Below are 14,653 nucleotides of genomic sequence, written 5' to 3'. Positions count from 1 at the left end.
TCTTATCCATGCACTAAAGTCGTGTGATACATTGATGCTAGTATTACTTTAAGAAGTTATCTTTTAGATCAAATAAGCATAATATAAGCAGATGATTTTATCTCATATATTTATATTATTATATAATAAATATATAAAAATAATAAATATATATTATTATATAGTAAATATATAATATTAATATAGTACATCTATAATATAAATATTATATATTTATATTAAGTCATCTATAATATATTATAGATATTTATTCTTCTTTTTTCCTCACATGATTTCTGATGAGAAGTTGCTGTAATTCTTAATTCTTAAGTTTGCTCCTTTATAAGCATGTTACGAGTTGCTTTTTGATTATTTATTCAATGATTTCCCCTATATCTGGCACTTTCAAGATTTTCTCTTTGTCTTTGGTTTTCTCCAGTTTAATATAATATGTCTTGGTATAGGTATTTTATACTTACCATGTTTGGTGTTCTCTGATCTTCCTGAATCTATGGTTTGGTGTATGTCATCAATTTTGGAAAACTTTCAGCCCACTATTTTTTTTTTTTTTTGCCCCATTTGCTCTTTCTCCTTCTCTTATTTCAATTATGGACATATTACTCCTTTTGCAACTGTCCAATAATTTTTGGATATTCTTTGTGTTTTTTGTTTACTTTTTTCGGTTTTCTTACTTTGTTTTATTTTGTATTTCAGTTTGGGAAGTTTCTTTTAACCTAACTATGAACTCACTAATTCTTTTCCCATTTATGTCTAGTTTATTAACGACCCCTTCAAAGACATTCTTTACTGCTGGTGCAGTGTTTTTGAATTCTAGCCTTTTCTTTTGATTTAAAGTTGTAAAGTTTCTATCTTGCTGCTTACATCTTGCATTTGATCTTATATGATGATTACCTTTTCCTAATATTAATAATAGTTATTTTGCATTCTTTGTCTCATTATCCAATTCCTGTGCTATATCTGAGTCTGTTAAAGGTGATTTATTTGTCTTCAGATTGTATTTGTACTTGTCTTTTAACATGCCTTATATATTTTTGTTGAAAGTAGATATGTTGCATCAGGTAATAGGAACAGATGTGTTTTATTTAGTGTTTGCATTTTTGTTAATCTTGCTGGAGTTAAGTTGTGTTTAATATTTGCAATGTTTGTAGGTGCCAAGAGATAAAATTCCTTTATTGCCCTTGATTTTGTCACCCCCTATTGTTTCGGGGCTCCCTATGAAGCTGTTTGTCAGGCCGAGTCTGATTACTACGGGCGTAACCCCCGGATGCACTGGAGCACTGGTGCAGTGATGGTAAGGCGTGGTGAAGGGAAAGCATTCTATAGTCTAACATGGAAGTCTAAGTCTTTCAGTGGTCCTGTGTCCTTGGGCAGTAGCCTGTTCAAGTGTTCCTTAGTGTCTCCAGCCATTAGGGAAAATAGTGCAGTCTATTTTAGACTGTAATAGAACAGCCTTTTCCTCCAGATAGTAGGACTTCCTTACATCGAATATTCCAAGTCTGTTTGACTGGTTACTTCTCACCTCCCCCTGCCAGGGTCAGGAGGGCATCTTTCTCGGCTCTTCACTGTGAGAACCTTGTGGGATTCCTGAAGATGAAACCATGAACGCGAGGGAGTCTTGCTAAAACTGCAGCATTCGAGAGGTTTTCACTCATGCTGGCTCACACTTGTCCTCTAGCAATTCATCAAAATTACCACGTAAGTGTTTCAACAGTTTATGGCTCAGGTGGCCTCAGCTGTGATGCTCCAAATTTGCCTGTTTCTCCAGATGCAGGGTAGCAGTTTGCTGTTTCTCCTGAGTTCTTTGATGGATTCAAGAAAAGTCATGATTTTCAGTTTGTTCTGATTTTTTCTTGTGAGGGCAAAGTAATGACTAAGCTTTAATGTGTTTCAGCTAAAACTACATGTATTTTAATAGCAAAATGAGATATAATTCACATGTCATAAAAGTCACCATTTTTGGGTGCACAACTCATTGGATTTTAGTATATTCCAGGGTTATGCAAGAATAAATATTCTCTAATTTTGGAACATATTTATCTACTCAGAAAGAAACTTTGTGCTCATTAACAGTTACTTAATATTCTCTCTCCCCTAACCTATGGTAACTACTAGTCGACTTGCTATAGATTAGGTTACTTTGGATATTTCATATATGTTGAATCATAAAATATGTGCCTTGGCTTCTTTCACTTACCGTAATATTTACAAAATTCATTCATCTTACAAAGTACTTCATTCTATTTTTGATTTTATGGGTTAATAATATTCTACTGTCTGGCTATATACATGTATGAATAATGTGGCAACATTTTGTCCATACACTCATCATGTGATTAGTATTTGCTTTGTTGTTGTTGTGTGTTTTTTATTTTTCAGTTATTATGAATAATGATTATGAATTCAGTTATTATGAATAACTACAATAAATAGTTATGCATAAGTTTTTGTGAGGCTATATATGTGCAGTTCTTATGTGTTAATTCCTAGGGGTAGAGTTGCTGGTGCATGCGATAGACTGAATGTTTATAACACCCTCCAATTGATATGTTGAAATCCTAACCCCCAATGCAATGATATTTGGAGATGAGGTCTCTGGGAAGTGATTGGGTCATGCCTACTCAATGAGTATTTTTTGCGTGTGCATAGGTGAGCCTCCATATGGATCCCTCGGACTCTTCTTGACTTGACTTGTCATGGTATTTTTTTAAGTTGGGAAACAGTTCTGTCTCTCATGAACAATAGCTATGCCCTTCTATGACTTCTGCACGACTGAAGCCCTCATCAGGCTCCAGGTGAAGCCTTTCATTCCATTGCTACATGCATCCCTGTGAATCATAATTAATTCCATTAGGACCTGGGTGCCTTAACAACCTTTGTTTTTCATTTAAACTTTGAAGACATTTCTTCAGTAAAATATCTATTTTTAAATAGTATGGGATGAATCTTGGTTTCCATGGATACCCAGTACATTTTTTGCTTATTTGCTTGCACTGAAGTTCCTGCGGCCATGCCTTCAACACATCCAAAATGCAGACACTCCTCATTCCTCTGGTGCAAGCCCCCATCATGTTTTGCCCAGAATGCACTAATGGGTGATCTCTCTGCTTCCAGCTTTGTTCTCTTTCCATCATTTTTCCTAAGTGCAATCGGAATTATCTTTTTAAAAGGTAACTGACATTTCATAAGTAGCCAAACAAGCTGAGCAGATTGGAAGATTGCACAAACTCTAGGTTTTACTGAAATATTTTGTTCTGTTTAGTTCTACCACGGCCTCAGCAGGGTAGTAACTCAGGTTTGTGACCTTAGGAAAATCTTTCTTGTCAGTAAGATAACTTGGAGGATCCTACTGAGAACTACAGCCCCAGGCAATACCCTACACCGGAAACACGAATATAACATTTGAATCCTCTCTCCTCCCCAATGTGTTTAATTAATTGTGATGCCCAGCCAATTCTATTTTCCTAAACTGCACTCAAAAAATCTGAAACCATTCATCTAATTGCTGTTTCTGCCTTATGTTTCTTCAGCGCACCTTTCACTTTCAGCCAGAATGAATAGTCTGATGCACTACCTAATCCTGCCACCCCGTCATCAAATCCTTCAATGTTACCAATTGTCTTTTAGAGTAAATTCAAATAATAAAAGGCAAAGTATACTCTAAAAGACAAAGTATTTTATTTGTTGTACAATGATCCTATGCATTTGATAACCTTACCACCTGCACATCTACCTGAGCCTTTCATTGAGTTTTCACTCCATGTTTATCAACTGCTTTTTAATTCCCAAAATGCAAACAACTTTTTATTTTGTTCTTCTCACCTTTTTCATCAGTCTAATCCCAATATATTTTCAAAACTTTACCCAAATGTTAACGTTTTTGCAACGATTCCTGATCCTCAAACTTTGCTAGATTTATGTGCTTTTCACAGGAGTTTAAAAAACACCCCTTATCATTTTTATTATGAGGATATTGTAATGCTTTATAATCCCAGACTTTCCATTTGATCTTCTTCAGTATTCCTCTAGACTGCCCTATGGCATAAATCCTTCTCAAGCTATACTAGAAGTTGCTGAATACATATCTTTTGTGTGAAATACCTTGTTGTGCCTTTGTAATAGGGATATATCATTTAATTTTCTCATTTATGATAATTATATATTTTTAATTTGGACATAATTCAGTAGTCAATAGTTTTTTATCAGTTTCCTATCATATCAATATTTTACAAAAGAAAATGCTTAATTCAATATGAGGTTTTGATTTATTTTACTTGTAGAATCATTTCTGATAATTAATTGAACAATACTGCTTGGATACTATCTTCTTAACCAACAAAACAGCTACCAGAATTCTGAGGTAATTGGTTCTTTGTAAATACTATCCTTCTGTTGCAAAAATGCAGGACCCTTGTAGAGCTCTATGTGTATGTGTGTGTACCTTTGCAACGGCAAAGGTACTGCATAGCTGGAAACTCTCCATCTCAGGTAGACATGAATTCTGGCATTCCATTGAGCTGGTAGGATCTTCACTATTTAAGGATACAACATTTATAATTTTACATGCATAATCATATATATGTGTGTGTGTGTAATTATATATATATAAAATATATGTGTGTGCTTGTGTGTGTGTGTATATATATATATATTATTTTCCTGGAAGAAGGCTAATAGTTTTCATTGGATTAACAAAAGAGTCATGATTATTCAAAATTGTGGACTCTCTATTAATCTGGTGAAAATATACTGTGAGTATGTATGATTTTAATCTTCATCACATTTTAATGAAATTACTAATTTCTGCAACTAAGTACAGGAGACAGTATTTCCATAGAGAAGATTATGTCTTATTTTCCACAGTTTTGCCCCAAGTAATTTGTCACATGAAAGATACTCTTGAATATCTGATGTGAAAATGGAATAATCTGTTTGTTCCAGTACTTCCTCTGATACCTACTTCCTCAAATCAAATAAATACAGCTTAACATACAGTGTACTAAGGAATAATTATTTTTTGTACAACTTACCAGCAGTAGAGTGTTTATTTAATGAGGATTTTATTTCTTTAAAAAAACAAGCTTATTCCTCATTTTTTTCTTATTTTAGCACAGAAATGGTTTTGTTTACTTTTCTGTTATGCTTAGATCTTGCATTTGTAATCTCTGCTATCATTTTGTTTATTTCTCATTTTGGAAGGAAATTACCAACCTCAATTGCACCTCTAAGCCAAGAAACACAGCCATTATGAAAAAGAAATGGCTGTCAGCTTAGCAGAAATGACTTAGTGGCTCAAGTGTTGCAACTCTGTTTCTGTTCTTGTTAAGACAGAAAAAGACATCTTTTCACTATCGTTGAAAAAATTTTTAAAAATGTCGGAGGGTTGTTAAAGAATAGAAAAATATTTACTTCTTGCCTTTTTGGTGAAGAAATAAAAGGAGCTCTGTGTGTGTATGTGTGTGTGTGTGCGTGCATACATATGTATGTGTGTGTGTGCATGTGTGTGTGTAGTAGTGGGAGAGGGTGGACAGCTTAGTAAATGATTGCAGGTCCAGGTATTAAATTATTAATTTGAAAAAAAACTTTTCTGTATTTAGTGTAATTTTCCCTTAAAGTTGCTGCATTTGCCAAGCTCTTAAGCACAGATATTTATACTCTGTGACAATTCCTCTGGCCATATTGATAAGTAAAGATCCCTTTCTTTTAGTCCTTAAGCAGGGATATTTCCACAAGGATGTCATGTACTGGCCACATTGGAATACTGCCTTTACTTAAGATCCCCAACATTAACTGTTTGGGGTATCGTGACATCATTTTTAAACTTAATTATTGCATTAGATTTTCAAAGTTAACCTTTTCTTTTGTCAAGTAGAAACTTTCAAAAGTTGCTTATAATAACAAGGATATTAGTATCATGACAATGATACTTGTCATGAACTTCATGGTTAACAACAAACTCAGCGGAGCAGGCTTTGCTCTTCACGGCCTCTGGCTTCCGAAGTACAATCTTTTTGGAAGAATCGGAACTCTTTGTTACAGAAAGGGCCTCTCATTTTCACCTTTTAGAGCCTTTCGTACCCAGTTTGGATAATGGCTTTGAATTGAGTGCAGTATATTTGATTCCATTCACCACATCAATTTCCACTTCCTAAAACAGTCTCCTTAGGGCATCATAATCAGCTACTACCTGTAATCACTTACAGCCTCTGACAGAAAAAGCTTAAAGCTATTTCAAACAGCTCATTTTAAAGTCAATTTTTCAAATATGATAAAGTCTATATATACAATAGATGTGGTCCACTAACAAATATATTTATGATTTTACATAATTTGAAAATGCCTGTCACTCACTGTCTGCCATGTCCTTTTTTTCTCTGCTAATACTTAGCAATACAAAAGCTTACTGGAACTTTTAAATATTATTTGACTTTCAAAACTAGGTAAATTATATAAATAAAGATAATTCAAACCCATGGGAAGAAGTAGTAATGTTTTAAATTACCTATGCTCATCTACTAAAATTCTGGCAAAAAATTAGCTTCCACTCTCATCATATGAGGAGTTAAAGATTTGGTGAAGTCCAAAACAGTCTGATGACATGTTTCAAAGTCTTCTAGAACTGCTTTATTTCTGGTAAATGACACAGTATACCATGAAATAGCTGACATGTCTTCATGAACTTTTAAGTGCTTAAATCATATTGTAGATATACCACAGAATATATTACATGGGTAGGAATAAAAATCAACTGTGGTCCTTTTTATCCTTTCTCTAGTGAAACAGTTGACCATTTAACATGGACAGGAGTCAAAATTTGTGTCTGATAGGAGTGCAAGTTAATATTCACCAAAAACACAAGTTTGTTTACCTGATAGGCCTGAACTTTAAAGTGTCTGAATACCCAAGATTAATTGCTATTTAGGACTCCAGGACTCTTCCCCATTGGAGTGTTGAAAGGCTAGCAGTTTACAGCAAACTGCTGATACACATCCAGGAGACTGGACTGGAGGCCAGGGGAACAAACAAGAGAGTAGGGAAGATCAGAGAATGATGAAGGGCACCCCATGCCAACTCAGGCTGCACTTTCATGAACTGTAAGGCAGATTAATGAGAAAAATCATGATTTCCATCATGCTCCAGAAATGAACTCTATCTACATGTCTGCCCAATCATAGTAAGACAAAGTGAAGGAAGTTTTTGTTAAAAATACACCTACTATTACAATACCCAATAAAGGCATAATATATCCTAATCAAAGTTAATTTTAAAAATAATTCTGAAAGCTGAATGCCTGGAAGATGTGGTTTCAAAAAGTGTGTTGGTAGAATGTACAGTGTTATGGGGATTAGAAATTGTAAACAACTTACTTTATAAGGTGAAATGAACATTAAGTAATTCATGATATTTATTTAAAAGTGACATGCTACATTAACACTTATATACAGAAGAGTAAAGCACACTGAAAATGGAGAAATATAAGAAATAATGTATCATAAACAATCAACTAGATAAAGCAATACCAGCTTGTTCAGTTGGCAACTGAGAAAGAAAAGCCCATTCCTGGAGACAACTGACTGAAGAATTGAAGTTTGCTTTTGAGCAGTCTGAAGGAAATGTAACGTGGGAGGGTCTGCCGGATGGTAAACCAAATTCAAACGGTTGAATGAAACTGAGATTGAACCTTGCTTAATATTCGTATTTAACGTTGCTTAGCACAAAATAGAATGAAACTAATGCAAGAAAAAGCATTATGAAAAAGCGAAGGAAAGAGGCTAGCTGGAAAAAATAAAAACATAAATGCATTTTGTATTTTATATTTTCTAGACTGTGTAAAAAAATAATCAGACACGTGGGTAAGTGGAATAATTACTTTGCGTAAGCTTAGTTTTGACTAGTTTTGTTTCAGTCATTATTTGTTAATCTGTGACTTTCCTCTTACTAATCTTCCACTTCCAGACAATTCCTCCAATTAATCCCTGAGCGGAATTGACCATATTTTCAAAAATGTATTGTAGGCTTTTGAGTGTCTGCACGGAAATGGTTGTTTACTAAGTAAACTGAATAGCAATATAACTTTCTAGTGGTTTAAAATATGCTTACATATTAACAATAGATGGGATAATTCAGGTTTTATAGCTATCCACATTCTTTCAGAGAGGAGGAATAAAATAAATGCTTTGTAAAGTTTCATAACTAGCTAAATGCTACAAAATGTGCAACAAATTGTAATCTTTGTAATTCTTTCAAGAATCTTGGCCGGCTCTGTATAATAGACATATTTAGTACTATTATATTTACATATTTTTCTATTAGAACAGTTTTAAATGAATAGAAAAATTGAAAAGACAGTGCATTTCAACATACTTCACAGTTCCTCCAATTATTTGTATCTAACATTAATATGAAGTTTTTTTTACAATGAATGAACCAATATTGATACACACTTATTAACTAGAGTACATTTTTTTTTCAGTTTCTTTAATTTTTACTTAATCTTACATTGGGTCAACGTGTCTCCTTAGGCATATCTTTGCTGTGCTAGTTTCTCAGACCTTCCTTGTTTTTTGATGGCATAAAGAGTTTTGAGGAGTATTTGTCAGGTATTTTGTATAAGGTCCCTCACTTGTGGTTTTTCTGATGTGTTTCTAATGATTAGATTGTGGTTATGTGTTTTTGGGAGGAAGATCACAGAAGTAAAGAGCTACTGTTATGACATCATAACAAGGGTATCATGCTTGGCAACATGACATCACTGTTGTTATTACTCTTGATCATCTGGCTGAGGTAGAGTTTGTCAGATTTCACCGCCACAGAGTCACTCTTTTAACACCATCCCACACTGTGCTCTTTGGAAGGACGTAACTGTGCAGACCACACTTAAATCGTAGCAAGTTAAGCTCTAGCTCTCAAAGGGTGGTGAATCTACATAAATTACCTGAAACTTTTCACAGGAAATTTGTCTCTTCTCCTCTATCTATTTATTATTATCTTTAATTTATAGATCCTCTTTATATTCAAATATTACTTTATAATGCTGCTTAAATTGTTCCAGCTTTGGTCACCTGAAGCTCTTTCAGTGGGTTTCTGTGTCCCTTTGACATTCCCCATGTGTTTTGTTTGTTTGTTTGTTTGTTTCACTTTCTTACCTTCTGGCACTACAAGATGCTCTGGGCTTACCTTGTGCATTTCCTGCCCCCAGCCTAGAATCGGCCAGTTATCCCAAGAGACCTACTTCCCTTTACTGGAGAATGGTATTAGAAACCAAGCTCTGGGCACTAGCTGTGTTCATTATCACTAGATTACATTTGCTCATAGACACTTTCAGCTATGGAGTAAGGGAATATATGTACTATCTGCATCATAATTAAACTGAACATGAGTTCATACCAATGTCTTCAACTCTAATCTATTACTACATACAGTATGATAGCCTCTTCCCCTCATGTATCTCTGGGAAGTGTAGTGAGTAGCCTAGATCCTGCCACCATTTACTTAAGTGTTTAATTCCAGCATATTTGCACAGCAGTATCTTAATTGTTACCCTTACCCCTATGGGAAGCAACGTCATCAACTAGAATACAGTGCTTATGTATAGGATTCTTTACTTTTAGTCTTACAGGCTCCACTCATTGTCAAAGTAACTTACATAGGCATTGTTTTATTCCACCTCCCTAAGTGAGGTGTTTCATATGTTTCATATGTCTGTACTATATTTATATTGTTTTTCCACATTCTGCACTCCATTTGGGATCCTCAAAGCTCTTAAGTAATTTGTTAAAATTGACTTACATTAATATTCTTTGTGCAATAATTTTTACAGGGTTTGGGTATGCAGAGTTTTATGTATCCACCATTACAATATCATACCAAAAAGCTGTCCTAAAATTGCCCTGTGCTCCACCTATTAAACCTAACTCCCTACTTCAGACTCCAAGCAACCATTTTGATCTTTTTATGTCTCTATCATTTTGTCCTTTACAGGATGTCATATGATTGAATTCATTGAATATATAGACTTTCAGACTAAATTTTTACATTCAGAACATGCATTTAATATTTATTCTATCTTTTCATGGCTTGATAGCTCATTTTTGTTTAATCGCAGAATAATATTCTGTTGTATAAATATATCACAGTTGGTTTTTCCATTTACTTGTTGAAGGCCATTTTGTTGATTCTGATTTTTGGCAATTATGCAGAAAGCTGATATAAACATTCATGTACAGGCTTTTGGGTGAAAATGAATTTTCAAATAAATAAGCCAAATGCCTAGGAATTATGATTGATGGAATATATGATCTGACTATGTTTAGCTTGATGTAGAATTGTCAAACTGCCTTCCAAACTTGCTGTACTGGTTTGTATTTTCAGCATTAGTGAAAGTTCCTGTTACTCTAAATGTTCACCAGCAATTGGTAATATCAGTTTTTTTTTTTAATGTAGACATTCTAATATGTATGGAGTACAATCTTACTGGAGTTTAATTTGCAATTTTCTAATAACAATTGACAGTGAGGAGCTGCTCAGAGAACCCTACTGTTTGTAGATTAAAAGAAACCAGTCAACTGAACCCACCTTATCCACAATCACACCCCCAAGGGCATAAACAAAAAAAAAGAAAGCAAAAGCAAAACCTAAATAACCTCATCCAAAGTACAGCAGCTTCAAAGACTAAGGGACCATCAGCCCACATAGATGAGAAAGAACTGGAGAAAGAACTCTGGGAACTCCAAAAACCAGAGTGTCTTCTTATCTCCAAACAACCACATTAATTTTCCAGCAATGGTTTGTAACCATGCTGAAATGGCTGTAATGACAGAAATATAATTTAGAAAATTGATAAGAGTGAAGATCATTGAGATCCAGGAGAGAGTTGGAACCCAAACCAAGACATCTAAGGCATACAGTAAAATTATACAGGAGCTGAAAGATGAAATGTCCATTTTAAGAAAGAATCAACATGATCTGTTAGAGCTGAAAATTTTACCTCAAGAATTTCATAATACAATTGCAAGTATTGACAGCAGAATCAACCAAGCTGATCAAAGAATCTCAAGCTTGAAGACCAATTCTGTGAAATAGTCAGAAACAAACAAACAAACAAAAAAGAATGAAAAAGAATAAAAAAAAAACCCTCTGAAAAATACAGGATTCTGTAAAGAGACCAAATCTGTGACATATTTTAAACCCTGGAAGAAAGGAAGAGAAAGCAAGGAACTTAGAAAACGTATTTCAGGATATCACCCGTGAAAATTTCTCCAACCTCACTAGAAAGGCCAACATTCAAATTCGGGGACTGTAGAGAATCCATGTGATGGATACGCCTTTTCGGTTTCCTTTTTAGTTGACTTGCCCCTGCTCTCTAGCTGCCTGTAACCTGTCAGCAGAAACCCTACAAGCCCAAAGACATTGAGGGTTTATATTCTGCATTCTTGAAGAAAATAAATTCCAACCAATAATTTCATATCCAGCCAAACCAAGTTTTATAAATGAAGAGGAAATGAGATTCTTTTCACATAAGCAAATGCTAAGGGAATTCATTACCATAAGATCTGCCTTCCAAGAGGTCCTTTAGAAAGTTCTAAATATGGGGCTGGGCACAGTGGCTCACACCTTTAATCTCAGCACTTTGGGAGGCCGAGGCAGGTGGATCATGAGGTCAGATGATCAAGACCATCCTGGCTAACATGGTGAAACCCCGTCTCTACTAAAAATAAAAAAAAAAAAGTACTAAATATGGAAAGAAAAGTCTGTTACCAGCCACCATGAAAGCATTAAGTATTGATTTCATTTTGTTAATACAATTAATCAATATTTACTACATTGTATTAATACAATTATGTATTAATATTGCACATATTAATACAATTATGTATTAATATTGCACATATTAATACAATTATGTATTAATATTGCACATATTAATACAATTATGTATTAATATTTCACATATTAATACAATTATGTATTAATATTGCACATATTAATACAATTATGTATTAATATTGCACATATTGATACAATTATGTATTAATATTGCACATATTGATACAATTATGTATTAATATTGTACATATTGATACAATTATGTACATAAGTACATAAATATTGACCCTGTAAAGCAGCTAAACAATCAAGCAAGGTTGCATAATAACTGGGTAACAACACCATGATAGATTTAAATCCACACATATCAGTATTAACCATGAGTGTAAAAGGAATAAATGCCCCAATTAAGAGGCACAAAGTGGCAAGCTGGATAAAGAAGCGAGACCCAATGTATGCTGTCACCGAGAGATGCATCTCAAATGCAGTGGCATCAATAGGCTAAAAGTGAAGGGATGGAGAAAAACCTACCAAGCAAACAGAAGAAAACAGGAGTTGCTATTCTGATTTCAGACAAAACAGATTTTAAGCCAACAATGATCACAAAAGACAAAGAAGGGCACTGCATAATGGTAAAGGTTTAAAACAACAAGATCCAACATTCTGAAATACATACGCACCCAACAAGAAAGAACCCAGATTCATAAAACAAGTTCTTTAAGACCTACAAAGAGACTTAGATAACCACACAATAGTAGTAGGAGATATCACAACACCTCACTGAAACAATTAGACAGATCACTGAGGCAGATCACAAACATACCAAATGGACATAATAGACATCTATGGAAACTCTCCACTCCAAAACAATAGAATATACATTCTACTCATCTGTACATGGAACATACTCTAAAATTTACCACACAATCAGCCATAAAACAACTCTCACCAAATTCAAGATAAAAAATCATACCAACCACATTCTCAAACTAGATGGCAATAAAAATAGAAATCAATACTTCATACATTCATTCAAAATCAAAGAATTACATGGAAATCAAACAACCTGTTCCTGAATGACTTGGGTCAATGATGAAATTAAGACGGAGATCAAGAAATTTGTTGGAACTAATAAGAACAAAGAGACAGCATACCAGAATCTCTGAGACAAAGCTAATGAAGAGTTAAGAGAGAAGATTATAGTGCTAAACGCCCACGTCAAAAAGTTAGAAAGACCTCAAATTAGCAATCTAATATCACACCCAGGGAAACTGGAAAAACAAGAGAAAATCAACACCAAAGGTAACAAAAGACAAGAAATAACCAGAAACAGAGCTGAACTGAAGGAAATTGAGATGTGAAAACCATACAAAACATCAATGAATCTAGCTGTATGTTATTTAAAAGAATAAATTTAAAAGAATAAACAAGATCAATAGACTGCCAGCTAGACTAATAAAGAAAAAAAAAAGGGAGAAGATTCCAATAAATGCAATTGGAAATGACAATGGGGTCATTACTGCCAACCCCACAGAAATATTAAAACCTCTCATAGACTACTAGAAACACCTCTATTTCTTCCAGTTTTTTTTAAACTTAGAAGAAATGGACAAGTTTCTGGAAATATACAAACTCTCAAGAATGAACCAGGAGGAAACTGAATACATTAACAGAGGAATAATGAATTCCATAATTGAATCTGTAATAAAAAGCCTACCAACCAGAAAAAAAGCCTAAAACCAGACAGATTCACAGCCAAATTCTCCCAGATGTATAAAGAATACCAGGGCTATTCCTACTGAAACTATTCCAAAAATTTGAGGAGGAGGGACTACTCCCTAACTCATTCTATCAGGCCAGTATCATTCTGATACCAAAATCTGGCAGAGACACAACAGTAAAAAAAGGCAACTTCAGGCCAATATTCTTGATGAACACAGATGCAAAAAATCTCAACAAAATACTAGCAAACCAAATCTAGCAGCATGTCAAAAAGCTAATCCACCACAATCAAGTAGGCTTTAACTCTGGTTTGCATGGTTGGTTCAACATATGCAAATCAATAAATGTGGTTCTTCACATAAATAGAACTACAAACAAAACCACATGATTATCTCAATAGATGCAGCAAAGGCTTTTGGTAAAATTCAACATTGCTTTATGTTAAAACCTTCAAATAATTAGGCACTGAAGGAACATACTTCAAAATAATAAGAGGCATCTATGTCATTCCCATTACCAACATCATACTGAATGGGTAAAAGCTGGAAGCATTTCCTTTGAGAACTAGAAGAAGACATGAATGTCCCCTCTCACCACTTGTATTCAACATGGTAGCAGAAGTCCTAGTGAGAGCAATCAGGCAAGAGAAAGAAATAAAAGGCATCCAAATAGAGAGGGATTCAAACTATCTCTGTTTTCAGTGTGATTCTATTCCTAGAAAACCCCATGGTCTCTGCCCAAAAGCTGATATATCTGATAAAATAACTTCAGCAAAGTTTCAGAATACAAAATCAATGTACAAATATCAGTAGCATTTCGGTACATCAACAACATCCAAGCAGAGAGCCAAATGAAGATAATTATATTCACAACAGCCACAAATAGAATAAAATACCTAAAAATGCAGCTAACAAGGGAGGTGAAAGATTTCTACAAAGAGATTTACAAAACACTGCTCAAATAAATCAAAGGTGACACAGACAAATAGAAAAACATTCCATGCTCATGGATAGGAAGAATCAATATCGTTAAAGTGGCCATACTGCCCAAAGAAATTTACAGATTTAATGCTGTCCCCATCAAACTACCAATGATATTCTTTACAGAA

The 14,653-nt window shown here is 34.3% G+C and overlaps 1 long non-coding RNA gene across 1 annotated transcript in view; it reads left to right on the top strand.

The window, feature by feature from the left end:
- Positions 1-14,653, top strand: part of LINC01446 (long intergenic non-protein coding RNA 1446) — a 156,423-nt gene that overhangs the window by 118,310 nt on the left and 23,460 nt on the right. Inside the window, exon 5 of the long non-coding RNA NR_038371.1 lies at positions 1,533-1,695. This is a non-coding gene — a long non-coding RNA (long intergenic non-protein coding RNA 1446). The remainder of the gene's footprint in view (positions 1-1,532; positions 1,696-14,653) is intronic.

This window comes from Homo sapiens, chromosome 7, assembly GCF_000001405.40.
Source record: "Homo sapiens chromosome 7, GRCh38.p14 Primary Assembly".
Lineage (NCBI taxonomy): Eukaryota > Metazoa > Chordata > Mammalia > Primates > Hominidae > Homo > Homo sapiens.
Note: the sequence above shows the minus strand (reverse complement) of the source record. Positions and strands in the feature narration are given on the sequence as shown.